Source organism: Homo sapiens, chromosome 5 (genome assembly GCF_000001405.40).
Source record: "Homo sapiens chromosome 5, GRCh38.p14 Primary Assembly".
In the NCBI taxonomy this organism is placed as follows: Eukaryota; Metazoa; Chordata; class Mammalia; order Primates; family Hominidae; genus Homo; species Homo sapiens.
In genome coordinates, this window is record NC_000005.10 from 33,940,222 (window position 1) to 33,958,826 (window position 18,605).

Consider the following 18,605-nt stretch of genomic DNA (forward strand, 5'->3'; position numbering starts at 1 on the left):
GATATTGAATAGCAATTAGGCTAACAAAGACTGAAATGTAAGCTCCACAAAGGTCCCCAAAATACAAAATACATGAAAAAGTAAACACAGGAGAAAACTAACATTTGCACGGTAGGAGATACATCTATAACACGGATAATAGACTCTTACTGAGAGATTCTTATCAAAGCAAATTTCCATTTCAATTTAACAATAAAATAATGTATGGGTAGCTCAGAATTTTTAGGAAAGGGTGTTGAAGTATGTGCATCTGCTACTATGGGCACTAGAAAAACAGCAAAGAAGGAGCTGGAGGAATGGGAAAAAAATAACCTCTATAAAAAGGGTCACTTTGTCCAAATCCCAAGCACAAGGCTTCTGAGAACATGGCAGGAGGGATCAAAGATCATGACTTTGGTCTACCACAAAGACAAAAGGGTCACCAAAGGAAATGGTCAGATCAATTGTAATCAACAATTACTTTTTGAGTGGCTGTTTTGTGCCATCCCCTGTGCAGGGTGCTGAGGTGATGTACACGAACCAGACACGTTTCTGACCTCCACACGTAAAAGGACAGACAGCGGTGAGCACAAGCAAGATAAGACAGGGAATGATCAGCTGAATGTCAAAGTAAGGCTGAAAGAAAGAAAGACAAAGGAAGGAAAAGTTGATCCTGCTGGGAGGTCAGACTTTCTGGTCAAAATAATATTTGAGACAGGTCTAAATATATGGGCACAGTTTAGGCAGAATGGCAGGGGTTGGTTCGGAGGTAGAGAGGATATTCAACGCTAATAAAATGTGGTGACTAAAAGCTTTGATGTTGGAATGTCGGATGCTTGGTTAGGGAAGCAGGAAACAAAGTAGTAGGGATTCTCTTTCTCTTGCAGGATTTCCCAGGATTTCTGTTGAGAGTATGCGTCCTTGTACTAGTTTTATTTGTCTGGGGAAAGGAAATTTCTTTTGCCAGAAAGAATATGTCATTGGTATACTGAGAACAAATACTTAGATTCCCAAATGTGGTTAAAGACTTTGAAAATTGGATTATATTTATTCATTCAAACCTCAAGGGAGTTGAGTTCAATGAGTATTTGCATATTTGTGTGTGTGTGTGTGTGTGCGCGCGCACAAGTGCCCTGTGGTTGGTTAGGGATGACTACATTTGACTTCTTGGGGGTTCAATAAGATGGCCCTTAGCTGTGGGTCACCTTTCCAGCTGGCCCATCTATTCATTTCCAAATCTTCACACATCAGAACAGTTTTTGGAGAAACGGACAGGAAATAAACACTGAACCCTGGAGAGGATTCCATTTCTAAACCTTGCAGAGGCCAAGTACAGGTAAGGGAGATAAGACAGGTGGCTTGTCGCTGTTTCTTTCCTAATGCCAAGAGTTATGTGCCATGAAGTCCTCTGAACATTTACCCATCCTCATCCCACACAATGGGGTTGGGAGCAGGTGTTTTCCCTCGTGGCCTCTCTAAATGAGTCATTAACTTATTTCTCCAGGATGGATAATGGCAGGGGGATGGGAGGGTGGAGTAGAGAAGAAGGGGTAATTTTGTATATATTCTGTAAAAAGAAAGAGATTATTTCATTTGGGAGTGAATGTACTAATAGAATACAGGAGGACCTGATTGGGAAGCAGAAAATGAGAAGGGAGCAAGGCTTGGAGGGTGATAAGTAAAAGAGCATGCTCAAGCCAGAGAAGACAGCCTAGCTGGGTCTGGAAAGCACCAGTGATCTGGAGAGAATGGGACAGACACACTGCAGGAGCCTGGATAAGGAAGCTGCATGCCCTGCAGGTGACGAGGTTGAGCAGGGGGCAGGAAGAAGTGGCCACTTTAGCATAAACCCCTGCCCTCTATTGTTCCCCCCAACATATACACCAGAAGTGGCCAGACTCACAGGGGCATTTCAGATGCCTTGCTCCACACCCCAGCACTGCCTCAGTCACAGGTATAAGAACCAGGTAGCTGCAGAGAGTGGGTTCTTTAAACACAAAGGAGGTAATGGTAGAATTGAAGCAACAAAGTGGAAGCCCAAGCAGCAGCAGCAGGAGGAAAGCGCGTGTGAGATATCAGGGATGCCACTGCCTTATAAGACACTTGGGGAGGCTGGGAAGGAGAAGGAGGCTGCAGCACAGAATGACAACAAATGGCTCTTTGCTCCTAGGCTGGCCAACTTCAGTAGATACGGTCCTTAGCCCTGGGCAGCCAGGGCCCCTGGTCTGGGTGTCATCATTAGAGGAGACCCTGCTCTTCCCCTGCCCCTCCCCACATGGCAAGGATTGCACAGGACCTTCTGGAATCTGTGCCCCCCTAGTCCTCCCACCTCCTAGATTATGCTTGGGTACGTGAGACCTTGGAATCTCTTGTCCAAATGGCCCTGAGTCTATTTACAAGGAATCCATGGGTTCTTTCTTGAGTCTATCCTCCAGAGGGAATTCCATGCCACTGAGTCTGTCCACCCTTAAGTGGCTAAGGGTGGTCGTTTGCAGGAGCGATAGAGGGTGGAGGCAGGTGGGAGGCTATGGATGTGCTGACGCCAGCATGCACACAAGGACTCTACACTGCCTAGGTAGAGAGAGGAGTGGGGGAAGCAGTGAAGAGGGATGGGCTGTGGATCACATGCCTCCATTCATGTGCCAGACACCAGGCTAAGTGCTGTCCATACAGGAAGCAACGGAACCAAAGTGACTGGGTTCAAAGCCCAGCTCTGTCACTTAAGAATTGTGTGGTTTCAGATAAGTTATATCTTTCTGCCTCCATTTCTTTATCTAAAAAATGGAGAGTGGTAACAGCACCCACTCCCACAATTGCTGTGTTAACGTTAAAGCATTTAGAATAGTGGTAAAGACTCCATAAATGTCATGGTTTGTGTTTTGTGGTTTGTTCGTTTGTTTGTTTTGAGACCAGGACTCGCTTTGTCTCCCAGGGTGGAGTGCAGTGACAAAATCACAGCTCACTACAGCCTCGATCACCCAGGCTCAAGCAATTCTCCCACTTCATCTTCCCCAATAGTTGGGACTACAGGCATGCACCACTATGCCCAGCTAATTTTTAAAATATTTTTTGTAGAGAGAGGGTCTCCCTATGTTTCCCAAGCTCGTCTCGAACTCCTGGCCTCAAGGTATCCCCCTGCCTCGGTCTCCTAAAGTGCTGGGATTACAGGTATAAGCCACCATGCCTGAACCAATGTTACATATTATTAATCATCACAACTCTCTGAGATAGCAATTCTTATCCCAAATGTATAGATGAGCAAGTGTGCCTTGGGGAGATTACATAGTTTACTGCTGAGTGGCAAAGCCAGGATTTAAAACCAGCTGATTCCAAAACACGATTTTTATTAAACCATGCTGTCTCTCAAGGCTGCTGAAAACCTCATCATGGGGCAGTTGAAGGGGTGTGGTTAGAGAAAAACTGCTTAGCTTGGAGAAAAGAAGATCATAGGAGAAACAGGGGGCTGTTTTTTGGAAAGACTTTCACATCAAATCCAGAGGACGAAACAAGGGTGCAGACTAGAGAGAAATATTTTTACTGTGTCAATGAAATGAACTATTTTAAAGTGGTGAATTCTCCAGCATGAGATGTTTGAGTAGACTTGTCAGGGGTATCATAAAGTAATAGGAATTAATTATGAGCAAATTATGAATAAATTAATAGAGAATAAATCATTAGCAATATTTTGAATATTTGTGAATTTGATGAAATATATGATTCCCCAATATATATGGACCCCTGGCTAAAAAAAAAAAATCAAATCACTTCACAGAACACATCCAAGCATTGTATATGGAATTAGTCTGCTTCTGAGGTCTCAGCAAGATTTGTAATGCCCTGTGAAAAGCAGCTCCTGCCTCTTCCACCCTTGCACCGAGATGCTGCCACCCACACTTACCCCTTGCCACCGAGGCATAGAGGCATAGTCCAGGCAAACGTTGCCTGAAATATGGGGACTGTTGTGCAGAGGATTGGTTTAAAGTGAGAGGTGGGACTGGGCGCGGTGACTTGCGCCTGTAATCCCAGGACTTTGGGAGGCCAAGGGGGGCGGATCATGAGATCAGAAGGTCGAGACCATCCTGGCTAACATGGCGAAACCCCATCTCTACTAAAAATACAGAAAATTAGCCATGCATGGTGGTGGGCGCCTGTAGTCCCAGCTACTCGAGAGGCTGAGGCAGGAGAATGGTGTGAACCCAGGAGGCGAAGCTTGCAGTGAGCCGGGATCGTGCCACTGCACTCCAGCCTAGGTGACAGAGCAAGACTCCATCTCAAAAAAAAAAAAAAAAAGAGAGAGAGAGAGAGAGAGGTGGGCAGATTCCACGGCTGAAATCACAATAGTGGGCGTCCAATGGGCAGACCCTAAGATTCAGAGCTGCAGAAAATGTTAACTTCCTGCCATGTGCTTCACTGTCTCTGAGGTTAGGGTCATTGTCTCTTTATTGACCTAATCCACATATCTAACAAAGAGAGCGACAAAGCAACAGCCTATCAGTGCCACCGCAGACGCTGTGATCACCACGACGACAACGGTCCCGGCTGTGTTGACCAGAAAGCCCAGGCCACCTCCGACCAGGATCTGAGCCAGCTGCACCATGCATGTGAGGGTGGCGCAGTCCATGCCCTTCCCTCTCACGCTGTTGTCTGGGTCCCCTCCTGGGGCCTGCTGCCTCTGCAAAGGAAGCACAGAACCACCATTTGACCTACAAGGAACTGTCATTTAGGGCACAGGTCAGCAAAATTTTTCTGTGACCAGCCAGATAGTAAATACCTTTGGCTTCGTGGATTATACAGCCCTGGTCATAACTACTCAACTCTGCTGCTGTAGTGCAAAAGCAGGGGCAATGTGGAGCTGAGTTGGCTTTCCAATATATATTGATGGACATTATTAGCATTTGATTTCATGTAATTTTCATGAATTGGTGATGTGGAACTGAACTGAATATTGATGGGTATTAGCATTTGATTTCATGTAATTTTCACCTGTCACAAGATATTAACCTTCTTTTGAAAGTTTTTTTCAATCATTTAAACAATTAAAAGGAATTCTTAGCTCGCAGACTGTACAAAAACAAGTGGCGGGCCATAATCAATACAATGTAGTGGATACTTAATAAATATCCCATTCTTTTCCTTTCTTAGTGTTAAAAATTCAAAGATTTTAAGAAGGATGTTGAATTGCTGATGTCCTTAAGAGAAGCAACTTTAAAAAGCATTTCAATCTTTCAAAATATGGTTGCTACTTGATTAATATAATAATGTTTGGTTAATACTTGATATTTCTTCCGAACTGGCTGATAACTTTGTCATTTGTTGGGTATCGCTTATGTGCTGGGCCTGGGTTTTTTTTTTACCTGTTACTGTATTTCAACCTCACCACCTCCCTGGATGCACATGTTATTATCATTACCCCCATGGTAACAATTATAATACTAGCTATCACATTTTGAGTCTTTGTCGGGTGCTAGGGGGCACTATGCTAAGCACATCCACTAATTTGTTTGCTTTTCTATAAGGTAAATAACATTCTTTCCATTTGCCTCATGAGGAAACTGAGGGCCTGCGAGCTTAAATGATGATTTCCTACACTATTAGGCAAAAAAAAAGCATTATGCTGAAAAACGCATATTATCCTTTGAATAAGAAAGGAAAATAAGAAAACAGATTTACATTTGCTTGGTTTTTATTTAAAAATGCCGGAAAGATTAACAAAAAACTAGTAAGAGTGGTAACACGTTGGGGCTGGAGGGAGATAGTAAATGGTAAAGGGAGCACACAGTGTGCACTTTTGTGTATCATTGTGAATATATTATCTCACCTAAAAATGAACTCATTCTAAGTGCTAACTAATAAACAAGTAAATAACATCCCCAGTGTAACACAGCTTCCAAGTGAGAGAGGCAGGATTTGAATCCAGGTTTCTCTGAGCCTGAAGCGTAGGTTTTCTTCCCCCAACACCATGTAACACTCTCCTTGTAGGGACAGTTTTTTATGATGACTCTCCCATTAGCAGCAACATCCCACCTTGGTGACAATGTTTGCCAGGGGATGAGGAAAGCCACACCTCTTTTTTGAAAGGTTTTTACTCCTGGTGCACCTCTGCCCTGCTGCCAGATCAAATGATGAAAAACATGGCCAGAATTATAGTCTGATGGTTATATGTTCAGTGTTTTTGCAGTTTCATGCTGAGCTGGATTAAACTTGGAGTTATCTCTGTAGCTTTTATATCATTGCTCCAGTTAAGGAACTATAAGCCTATTTTCACAGGAAGAAAGTTGCAAATTTTGATAAGAAGAGGTGGTAATTTTAGAGTGGAAACACCAACTCTGTTATAAGCACTGCATAGGCGCTTGTTCACTAGTTGCGTTCCAAGGTTTAAATGGCACAGGTCCCGCTCAGGGCAGCAAAGTGGGGATTACCACCCATGATTCCAGCTTTCCTTCTCACACATGGGGTCTGACTTACTAAAATCTGGACTCCATTGCCTAGGACTTTCCTACCCTCAGCAAATAATGCCAAGAAATTCCACTATGTACCTCTGAAAGTTGGGGATAGGGAGACCCTTATTGTCGGTATCTAGAAATGCTGCAGGTGGCACCAGGGAGACCTATGAGGTGGTTACAGAAGACCTGGGTCCCCCTTTTTTTGTCTTTGTGTAATTGTGGGCTGGTTTCTCAGCCTCACCAAGCCTTTTTCTAATTAGAAAAATGGGAGTAACACTTCTTGCCCTACAGCTCCCTAAGTGAGCAGGAGTTGAGAATAAGGAGGACAGGACAGCTGGGCTGGGCTGGGCTGGTGAGCATGCCTGTACCAGATCATGGTTGCAGTTGGTTGGGCATTTGACTGTTGCTGTTTCAAGAACCCTTATTTTCCAGCTCTGCTCTACACATTGCTACCAAATCCTCCCCAGCCTTCAGATGAGTCTGGATGTTACCCAAGGCAGAGGTTCAATGACAGCACACCTCCTTTTCTTCCTCGCGGTGGTACTCAGTAATGAGGTTAAAGGGCACAGTGTACAGGGTGCTGGACATTACACCAAACAGGCTGCACAGGACCAGGGTGGAGTAGACATTCGGGAAGAGCCCAATAAATCCCGTCCCCAGGCCAAACAGCAAATATCCCGTGAAGTAAAGACCCTTTAATCCAATGTAGGATACCAAAACTTTCTGAAAGTCTGTGGGAAGAAGAGAGGGAGAAATTACAGCTGGCAGTGCCTCATAACATTTAATAATTTCAGACAATCCTTTCTTCTGAAGATTCACCTTTTTAGACATCCTTTGATACTGAGCCAGGAACAAAAGAATCCCCTTATCTGTGGGTTGAAAACAGCTGGCTTTTGGAACCATTTTAAAGACCTTTCCATAAAGGACAGCTTGAAATTGCCTTGGTAGGCTGATTTTTTTTCTACAAAGAAGAATCTGGCACTGTTTAGCAGACAGCTGGATAGCAAAAAGAAGCGAGAAAGGTGGTGGAAAATCTGACCTAACTATGGGAACCTGGGGCTTCAAGAAAAGTGTGGGTTATTCTAAATCAGATGGGCTGTGGCCCCATAGGACGAAAATAATAACACAGGCCTATCTTGGCCCTACAACCCAAAGTCAGGTTGGGGAAAATTGAAACAACCAAAATTTACAGAATGATCTAAGTCATTCATGATTTCTTAGCCCCCATCTGAATGGAGTCTGCACACCTGAGAAGGAGGTAAAAGATGTACAATTATCTGAAGACACCTTCCCTGACTTGCCAATCCTTCCCAGACTGGTAAGGGGCTCCCACAGCACCCAGCATCTCCTCATCGCTGGCTCCCTAACTCTTGGTAAACAAGTTCCTTGACTTCTCAAAACCCCAGCTTCCTCATCTGAAAACTGGGAATAATAAAACCATCTTTTGGAGTTGTTGCCAGGATCAAGTGAGATGAAGTGTCTATGAAATCACCCAGCTTAATGCCTAGCATGTAGAAAACATCCAATTAAGCAACAAGACAGGCTGAGCTGGAGACAGTTGACTTTTAACTGGGTTCCTCTTCTAGCAGGTCAACTTGGCTTGCTTATATCAGTATAGTGGCAGAACTAATTTTTAAAAATGAAAAATTCTGCTTTAAAACATTTTACAAGGTTTTCTACAATGGCAAGGAAAATCTCTAAATTGTTTTTATCTTCTTCCCTCAGTCGTTTTTAATCCACACATTCCTCATCTCTTCCCTGCCCCATTCTCCTGGAACACAAGAATCAGAGGATAAATAACAGATACTTGAAACGTGACTATTAAGAATGACATTTTCCATATCTATTCATATAATTATTGGACTTACACCTTGTAGACAAGCAACCTTATTTGCAGTACATTTGAATCAATTATGAAACTAAACACTCTCACACTGATGGAAGACAAAGATCTGGAAATGACAAGTAGGCAACATTGCTTCCTCTATTAAACTTATACCATGACTGGAGGACTGTTGTTAAGGTTGAGAATACAAAAATGAGAATAAAGCTAGAACAGTTTCTGCTTGCTTAATAATTATATTTATACAGAAAATGTAATCTAAGGTGTCTCAATACCTAAAAGATACCATCAATACCCATTAGGGAAATGCTCTTATCCAAGTGTGTATGCCAGCAGAGGAGAAGGCAAAGTAGGGCAAAGAGGTATTTGGAAACATAAGTAACTTCAGTACAGAGACTGAAAGTCTGGCAAAGAATACTTTATTCACAAAGATAATTCAGTGAACTTCAGGGCCAAGCTTGAATTGCCCTCTGATGGGTCTGATACCCAGTGGTAGTCATATCCTCACACAATGCCTCTCTTCAGGACTGAGGGGAAATTATAGATTTAAGCACCAGTTATGACTAGTAGTGTATGATATTATGGTATGAACAATAGGCCATATCTTAGTACTCAGTGTTGTTGTTCTAATTGGTATACCTGTACCTGCTGTATACAAAAGGAGCTTAGAAACAAGTCCCTATCAGCACTCTCCACCTCAGCAGCCAGATTGTCCTGCCAACCTCCATGTGGATAGAAACTCTGAATCTGCTCCTGATGTTATGTGATGAATCCAAAATAGAGGGTAATATAGTGAGCTCTGGAAGGAAAGGAAAGGATTGATTCTGCCCAGAGTGGGTTGAGGTGCAGGGGGAAGAAAACTTGAATGATTTCACTGAGGAAGTAATATTTAAGCTGGGTCTAAAAATATTATTAGAAGTTGTCCAGTTGGGGAAGTAGAAAGAGCAGTTCAGGCAGAAGAAACTAAAAGCAGTGGCAAATACCCAGAAATGAGAAAGTCTGCATAGTGGGTCATTGAGGGTGGTTAATTGATATGGGAGTGAAAAAGGGCAAAGTATGAACTAGGCCAAACTGTGAAAAGCTCAGGAATTTGACTTTATCCTATGGGCATGGGGAATCCCTAAAATCCTTGAGCAGAGCTGGCTGGTATTTTATAAATAAAATGTTGATTTGAATTAACAATGGTAGGGATCCCATAGATTTATACATTAATAAAACTTTGGAAAACTATTCAACTAATAATTTCTTTTGTAACTAGAAACGCTTTTAACTAGAAGGGACCTAAAAATAATATGCTTTAAAGTTTCAAATGCCATAAAATTTATGCGGACAAGACTAATGGAATGTTATCTAGTAGGAGTTCCCTGAGGAAAAATAAGTTTAGATTGACACTTTTCTTTCTGACAAAGATGAAGGTAGGGCTGGATGTAGTGCCTCATGCCTGTAATCCCAGCACTGTGGGAGGCTGAGACAGGAGGATCACTTGAGCCCAGGAGATCGAGACCAGCCTGGGCAATGTAGGGAGACCCCATCTCTAAAAAAAAAATTTTTTTTAAATTAATAAGCCAGGCACAGTGGCATGTGCTTGTGGTCCCGGGTACTCAGAGGGCTGGGACTTGCTTGAGCCCAGAAGGTTGAGGCTGCAGTGAGCCATGATCATGCCACTGCACTCCAGCTCAGGTGGCAGAGTGAGACTTTGTCTTAAAAAAAGAAGAAAAACAAAAAAAAGCATGAGGGTAGTGGTAAATAGTCCCCTCAGCCCTTGAAATCATGAAGGACTTAAGCTGGATAATTTACTAGACCCTTTTAGTCTAACATTCTTTTATTCTATTTTAAGTGCTTGAAATCTTCCTCCTGGATTTTTTCTTAGTTTGCACACTCGAAGAGGAAGAAAAGAGTTTGCTAAATAAATGTGATCTTTAAGCACTACTCTTTGAGTATCATAAATTTTAAAATAATGAATGTTGTTGTTACGTGATTATTGGGCTCATCAACTTGCATGTTTATATGAGGTCCCATTTTCCCAATTGGGCTAAATTTTTAAGAGGTCTTGAGGCAGGTTTCCTGCTGTGCTATGGCTAGGTAAAGGGAAGGGGAAGGGGCCCTCACATACATCCACACTTTCCCTTCACAAGAAGCAGGCTGACAGTGACAGAGTGAGTCCTCCTGAGAATGGTAACAGGGATTCTCCCCATCTCTTCCCACTTCCTTCACCTGGGCCATATCCCTGCTGTCCCCTGGACCTGTCCAAAGCCCAGAGCCCTGAATTGGGGGTCAGTTATTCTTACAATCTTGCAGAAGAAGAGCTCTTTATAGGAGCTCTTTATAATTAGGAGAACTGCATACATTTTTCAGGCCAGACGTTTCACTTAACTCAATGTATACAGAGCTTGGAGATATCCATACACAGTCGCAAGTACAATGCAGCCTGTGCAATGCCCTGGAGTTATAGCACAGCCACCTGGACTTACATAAAGACAATAGCAGAAATCCCTTTGTTCAGTGTCTTCACAGCTGCAACTTAGGTAAGTGGAGGTTAAGAGGCTCAGAAAAGCTGGCACCTGGGAAGGAAAGCCAGCTGTCCCCAATCCTGGTGTGGTGCTCCTATAACCCACCCAGTTACACATCTGAGCTAAGGTCATTTTGCATGCTGACTTTGTCACCTGTCATATTAATATTGCTTCTCTTCTGTATCATCTACAAATCTGATAAGCCTATCTATGAAATGCTACCAATGATCTTGCTCCAGTAGAACACGAACCTGCTGGGACTCATCCATCCAACACTTCATCTTGTAAAGATTCCCTTTCATTTTCCAGAGAAACTTGATCAGGAACCCACTGATTCCAAGAGCAAAGTAATCAGTGAGGAAATGACACCTAGAATTCATGATGAAAAAAGGATGCTTTATATGGTCCTTTTTAAGGTGATAGTTTTTCCTGACGTCCATAGATTTATTAAGAATCTGGTATTTTAAACAGTAGGAAATACACATAGAAATATCAAATCCAAGTTGTGCTAGACCAGAAACTTTTAGAAGACATCCTTAGGAGAGAGAAAGACTTACAAGAATAAAGTGAGGAAAACACGGAGTTGATGCACAAGCCCCAACATCCAACCTCGACTCCTCTTTCGTAGATGAGAAACTCTGTGGAGTTGTGTGCACTATAGGGATCCCCGCGGTACACAATCTGAAAGAGAGATTGGAGGCTGTTGAGGTACAAATGCAATGTAGTAAGAACCCTTCTCATGCACTCTGCTTCTCCACCTCTGGGGAGCAAATGTCCCTGCCTGAGGGACCCTTTCTAGAGTACAGAGCTGATGCTGTCATGACCAAGTCGCATCCTATCACATCTTCATTCAAGGACCTATCAGAAATCTAATGCTTGCTGCATCAGATCTCAACAACACTCTCTTGGATCCTTAACATTCCTCCTTCCATCTCACAGCTGGCCCCACCTGACTTAGGAAATCCCACCACTCATCTTCTGCTACAGCCAATCGGCTTCTGACTCATCTCCACATGGGCCATTCCTGTTCCTGCTTGGAATGTTTTCTCCCTCTCTAATATTCCTCTAACTCCTACTCACCCTTCAAGGCCCAGACCATACTGCACCTCCTTTTTTATGTGTATTTATTATCATATTTTATTTTTTAAGAGACAGGGTCTTGGTCTGTCACTCAGAATGGAGTACAGCGGCACAGTCATAGGTCACCGCATCCTTGAACCCCTGGCCTCAAATGATTGCTCCACCTTGGCCTCGAAAGCACTGAGATTACAGGCATGATCCACCATGCCCGGCCTGAACCCCACCCCTCCTTTTTGAAGCCTGCCATGATTGCTACAGCTCACATCAATTGGCCCTATTTGTTGTATTTTTTTTTTTTGTAGTTTCAGCATTTTATTTCTTATTTTGATTCAAGATGTGAGAGGTATTACAAACACTCAATTATGAGTGATGCATTTACGTGTCCTATTCTTCCATCTGTAGATAAGTGAAAAGTCATTTAAGAAATTAGAGGTCTCTGTAGTAAATCCAAGTCACAGTAAAGCAAACAAAAATGCATATGTGTGTGATATAATGTGGAACTTTACCCCCTTGGAAGACTTTGCAGGCTGTAAGAATTTCATTTTTAATGTATTTCATACAGGCCGGAGCTAACAAGTTAATTTCTATTGAGCAAAAGTTTTTTTTTTTTTTTTAATTTTTTTTTTTTTATTATACTCTAAGTTTTAGGGTACATGTGCACATTGTGCAGGTTAGTTACATATGTATACATGTGCCATGCTGGTGCGCTGCACCCACTAACATGTCATCTAGCATTAGGTATATCTCCCAATGCTATCCCTCCCCCCTCCCCCGACCCCACCACAGTCCCCAGAGTGTGATATTCCCCTTCCTGTGTCCATGTGATCTCATTGTTCAATTCCCACCTATGAGTGAGAATATGCGGTGTTTGGTTTTTTGTTCTTGCGATAGTTTACTGAGAATGATGGTTTCCAATTTCATCCATGTCCCTACAAAGGACATGAACTCATCATTTTTTATGGCTGCATAGTATTCCATGGTGTATATGTGCCACATTTTCTTAATCCAGTCTATCATTGTTGGACATTTGGGTTGGTTCCAAGTCTTTGCTATTGTGAATAGTGCCGCAGTAAACATACGTGTGCATGTGTCTTTATAGACAGCATGATTTATAGTCATTTGGGTATATACCCAGTAATGGGATGGCTGGGTCAAATGGTATTTCTAGTTCTAGATCCCTGAGGAATCACCACACTGACTTCCACAATGGTTGAACTAGTTTACAGTCCCACCAACAGTGTAAAAGTGTTCCTATTTCTCCACATCCTCTCCAGCACCTGTTGTTTCCTGACTTTTTAATGATTGCCATTCTAACTGGTGTGAGATGATATCTCATAGTGGTTTTGATTTGCATTTCTCTGATGGCCAGTGATGATGAGCATTTCTTCATGTGTTTTTTGGCTGCATAAATGTCTTCTTTTGAGAAGTGTCTGTTCAGATTTTGTCACCACCAGGCCTGCCCTAAAAGAGCTCCTGAAGGAAGCGCTAAACATGGAAAGGAACAACCGGTACCAGCCGCTGCAAAATCATGCCAAAATGTAAAGACCATCGAGACTAGGAAGAAACTGCATCAACTAATGAGCAAAATCACCAGCTAACATCATAATGACAGGATCAAATTCACACATAACAATATTAACTTTAAATATAAATGGACTAAATTCTGCAATTAAAAGACACAGACTGGCAAGTTGGATAAAGAGTCAAGACCCATCAGTGTGCTGTATTCAGGAAACCCATCTCACGTGCAGAGACACACATAGGCTCAAAATAAAAGGATGGAGGAAGATCTACCAAGCCAATGGAAAACAAAAAAAGGCAGGGGTTGCAATCCTAGTCTCTGATAAAACAGACTTTAAACCAACAAAGATCAAAAGAGACAAAGAAGGCCATTACATAATGGTAAAGGGATCAATTCAACAAGAGGAGCTAACTATCCTAAATATTTATGCACCTAATACAGGAGCACCCAGATTCATAAAGCAAGTCCTGAGTGACCTACAAAGAGACTTAGACTCCCACACATTAATAATGGGAGACTTTAACACCCCACTGTCAACTATTTGTTGTATTTGATTAAATACTGGCAGGCTCCGTAGTGTCCTCTAGTTGTCCAGGGTATAGTAGCATTTTTCTACACCTGTCTGTAAGTCAGCTTCTTGATGGTACCCTTTCCTACATTCTTACTGTGCCAATCTTAGAGGATAGCCCAGAAGAACCTCAACAGGTGTTAATGGAGGAAATGATGTGTAACAGTGATTGTGTGCACAGACACGTTCATTACCTGGCCCATGAAATCTGTGAAGAACAGCATGTTGGACAGGAAGGCTGTCCATCCAATGAGGTGGCTGATGCAAAGGTAGCGGTAGTGAGGAGGCATGTTCACCAGTGCTCTCAGCAGTGACTTTAATGTCATTGCCCTGCGAGTCTGAAATAAAACATGAAACAGAGGTGTGATCTTCACTGCAGAAACTCAGCCAGCTAAGGGAGCCAGAACACACAGACATGTTATGTATTTGTCAGTCAGCCATCACACAAAGTGTCACTTTTCCTGGACATGGAACTAGGTTTCCATGGAGTAGACTCACAGGAGGTATTCTGTTAAGCACGAGTGGCTGCTTGGCAGTTTCAGGCCCAGAATGAGGCTTTGGACACAAGGGCAAAGGGAATGAGAATGGTGCTAGCTTCAGGCCAAGGTGTAGGAGACATTGAGCATCCTATGTCTGAATGACAGAACTGTTGCACAAGGACAAAGCTCACAGACATAAGCCAGCTCTTAGATGATTATAATTCTTGGGTCTCTTAACTGTGAGAGCATAGTAGGCAAATCCAAGATGTCTGTCATGATCTTGGTCCCCTGATGTCATCCCTGTGATTATGTGCTGTTACATGGCAAAGGGATTTTGCAGATATATTAATAATTAAGGTTATTAATCGCTCACTTTGAGTTAATTGAAAGGGAGATTACCTGGTTGATCCTAACCAAATTCCATGAGCCCTTGAAAAGTACAGAATTTTCTCCAGCTGGTAGTAGAAGGGAAAGTCAGAGCAACTCAAAGCACAAGAAATGTCTGCTTTGAAGGTGGAGGAAGCCACTTGAAAGGACCTGAGAGTGACATTTAGGGGCTGAGAGCAACTCCAGGCCAACAGTCCACAAGAAAGCAGGGACCTCAATCCTATAACCACATGGAACTGCATTCTGCCAACATCCTGAATGTGCTTTGAGGCGGGCTCTTCCCACTGAGCTTCCAGATGAGAATACAGCTCTGCTAACACTTTGACTTCAACCTTGTAAGACCCTGTGCAGAAAACCTAGTGCAGCTTACCCAGGCTTCTGATCTACAGAACTGTGAGATAATAAACTGATGTTGTTTTAAGCAGCTAAGTTTGTGAAAATTTTTTATTCATTAGAACATTAATACAGAGAGCCAGTCAGCTCCCTGTTCTTAGCCAGATGTCTCCTCCCAGGTTATATCTCTGAATCCTAATGATAGCAGAAACATGTTAATGAGCCTTACATTGAGTTAGAAGTAAGAACAATGTAGAACTCAAATATATATGTTTATACACACACACACACAAACACACACACACACACACGGTCTTCAATATGTTAATGGAAAATGCATATTATGAAAAAATTATGCATGGATTCCAAAAATTTTTTGAAGCAATATAAACTCATACTAACTTGTTATAGCATGTCTGAAGAAGATTTAGTTTGAGGCACTAAGAAGGATAAGACATCAGTTTGAAAAGAGCCCCTAACAGAGCAACATGAATTCTACTAAAATTGAAGCTAGAATAAACATCAAATTTATGGTGAAGCTTCAGTAGAAGAATGGTGAAACACTGATTTTTTTTTAACTTTATGAAGACAATGTCCCAAAGAAATCAGCAGTTTACAAATGGATAACTCATTTTAGGAAGGAACCAGATGGTGTTAAGGATGAAGTCCTCAGGGGCAGACCATCTACATCAGTTTGCAAATAAAAAAGTTAATCTTGTTTATGCCCTAATTGAAGAGGACTGACAATTAATGGCAGAAACAATAGTCAACACCATAGACATCTCAGTTGGTTCAGTTCACACAATTCTGATGGAAAAGTTAAGGTTCAGCAAACCTTCCACTCAATGGGTACCAAAAGTATTGTGCCCAGATCAACTGCAGACAAGAGCAGAGCTTTCAATGAAAATTTTAAACATGCAGGATCAAGATCCTGAAACATTTCTTCAAAAAGTTGTAACAGGAGATGAAACATGGCCTTACCAGTATGATCCTGAAAACAAAGCACAATCAGAGCAATGGCTACCGAGAGGTAGAATTGGTCCAGTCAAAGCAAAAGCAGACAGGTCAAGAGAAAAGACCATGACAACAGTTTTTTTGGGGATGCTCAGGCATTTTGCTTGTTGACTTTCTGGAAGGCCAAAGATTGATAATATCTACTTACTATGAGAGTGTTTTGAGAAAGTTAGCCAAAGCTTTAGCAGAAAAACACACAAAAGCTTCACCAGGAAGTCTTTGTCCACCATAACAATGCTTCTGCTCATTCCTATCATCAAACAAGGGCAATGTTGTGATAATTTTGATGGAATATCTTTAGGCATCAATCCCAGAGTCCTGATTTAGCTCCTTCTGACTTCTGTTTCCTAATCTTAAAAAATCTATAAAGGGCACCCATGGTTTTTCAGTTAATATTGTAAAAAAGGCTGCATTGACATAGCTAAATCTCCAGGACCCCCAGTTCTTTAGGGATGGGCTAAACGGCTGGTATCATTGCTTACAAAAGTAAGCAATGAACTCAATGGAGCTTACATTAAGAAATAAAGTTTATTCTTTTTAATTTTTATCTTTTAATTCTATTTTTCCATTAACTTTAGGAAGGCCCATCCCACACACATATATGTAAAAAATGAATATATAGGCCCCGATTCCTTAATTTAGATTTAAATTAGGTTAAAACTAGAAGCTATAGTTTTTCTGGTTTCAGAAACATTGAGAGAATGAGAAACTTTAAACTATTGATACAACTGTTTTGAAATACAAAAAATGATAATAGCTTTTAGCATCTTGTCATATAAGAGAAGAAAGAAACCTTGGGAATATTAATTGATTAGCTTCCCTGAAGACACTGAGACCATAAACATCAGACACAATTTGGTAATTGGTCTTTCTTGTCATATTTTTATTTATTCTGAATCACGACATTGAGTACTGGCTAGTTTATAAGACAGTCTACTGAGATTTTCTATTTTAACTGTAACAGCATATTTTTTATACTTCTTAACCTTATATAATCATGCTTTTTTCTTCTTTGCTGTGGAAAATTATATTCGCCCATTTTAATTTTGTTGTGTAAGTTGATTTTTTAAAATTCATCAGTCTTGCAGTATCTAGCCCACTGACCATAACTATACTCATTTTCTGATAATCAGTGTTAAACACTATAGACATCTCCCTGGATTGAAGGAAAATAACTGTTTTTCTGCAAGTTCAATATGGTACCTGTAAAAATAAATGATTATAACCAAAATGAAGTGCAGAATTACTACTTTTTCCTCAACCACAGAAAGAAGCAGCTAACAATAGCCCAAGAAACAACAGCCTGGTTTTCATGCCTCCAACTAAATGGTTTGTCATCACTTTCCTTCCTCTCCTTCCAAAAATGCAAAACTGAGAAAGCGAATCTGGTCAGCAAGTACTCAGCCTCATTCTAAATATTAATATATGCTTCTGACTTATACATAATTTTCAGCCTGCTTTCATTGTTAGCCTAATTTCTCCTTTCTTCTAAAAATAAATATGAGCTTTCAAAATGTGCATAGTATTTCTGTAAAAGCTGAGAGTGTAAATATTCAAAGCCCCTTTGTATATTTTAACTCAGAATAAAAACCCAGCTGGGATATTATTCCTGACTCATCAATTCCCTTGGTAAAAACCTTTCAATGATTCTGAAACCTTGGGAGTTGTTTTACTGCATTTATTTTGCACCACTGTCAGCTGGAGACTGGGTAGTGATGAATTTACAAGCGAAAAAGGTACAGAGTCATCAGGGAGAAAGAAAACTTCACAAACATACCCTCAAAAGGAGACTATTTAAATGTTAAAGGGAGCAACTGACGACATGGAGGAATTGGAGATAGATTTTATGAGATCTGGTTTAAACTTCTGAAATAATTCAGCCCTCTTGCCATTAAAAAAGAAAAATTTGTTCTTAAATTACACAGCCACCCTTATTTTGGAAAGCAATGTCTTTGGCAAGCAATGACAGCCCTGAAGCCTTGGCCCTGACCCTGGGGAAGTGCAGACTTCCTTTGCTTAACTGGAGACCTCCCAGGGCACACATTTGGAAGAGAAGTGCAAATCCATGGCTTTGAGAGTAAGATGCATTACTCTGTGCTATATTCTTACTTTAACTTTTTGTCTTATTTTATTTGCTTATTTATTTATGTTTTTAGAGGTGGGGTCTCTCTCTGTTGCTTTGACAAGTGTGCAGCGGCATGATCACAGCTCACTGCAGCATCAAACACTTGGGTTCAATGGATCCTCCCACCTTGGCCTCATGAGTTGCTGGGATTACAGGAATGAGCCACTGCACTGGTCTCAATTTGTTTTTTAAACCAAATAACAAGATCATTCAGAGTCTACAACATTTTTCATGTGGCCCCTACTAGAAAGTTCGTTGTATCTGTTGTATTTATTTTTGTACTCGTGTGGGAGTTCCATGACTTTCAAAAGGCTTCCACTCA

General features: G+C 41.5%; 1 protein-coding gene across 4 annotated transcripts in view, besides 2 other annotated features; it reads right to left on the minus strand.

Moving 5' to 3' along the window:
* Positions 4,012-4,512: an enhancer, noted in NCBI's record as "H3K4me1 hESC enhancer chr5:33944338-33944838 (GRCh37/hg19 assembly coordinates)". NCBI's record gives its function as "activates a minimal SCP1, AML or CMV promoter by ChIP-STARR-seq in primed H9 embryonic stem cells {active_cell/tissue: H9 hESC(primed)}" and the evidence as "EXISTENCE:reporter gene assay evidence [ECO:0000049][PMID:30033119]".
* SLC45A2 (solute carrier family 45 member 2) overlaps positions 4,402-18,605 on the minus strand; it is a 40,071-nt gene continuing 25,867 nt past the window's right edge. For 2 of the 4 annotated variants that reach the window (XM_047417259.1, NM_016180.5), the window contains exons 4-7: positions 14,140-14,283; positions 11,333-11,456; positions 6,942-7,153; positions 4,402-4,651 (exon numbers count right to left, since the gene is read on the minus strand). In XM_047417259.1, coding sequence (XP_047273215.1) covers positions 4,427-4,651; positions 6,942-7,153; positions 11,333-11,456; positions 14,140-14,283 — 705 coding nt within the window. In that variant the 3' untranslated portion in view covers positions 4,402-4,426. Of the gene's footprint in view, positions 4,652-5,644; positions 7,154-11,150; positions 11,457-14,139; positions 14,284-18,605 lie in introns of those variants that run through there. The other 2 variants (NM_001012509.4, NM_001297417.4) reach the window with 2 other exon arrangements.
* Positions 4,513-5,013: an enhancer, noted in NCBI's record as "H3K4me1 hESC enhancer chr5:33944839-33945339 (GRCh37/hg19 assembly coordinates)". NCBI's record gives its function as "activates a minimal SCP1, AML or CMV promoter by ChIP-STARR-seq in primed H9 embryonic stem cells {active_cell/tissue: H9 hESC(primed)}" and the evidence as "EXISTENCE:reporter gene assay evidence [ECO:0000049][PMID:30033119]".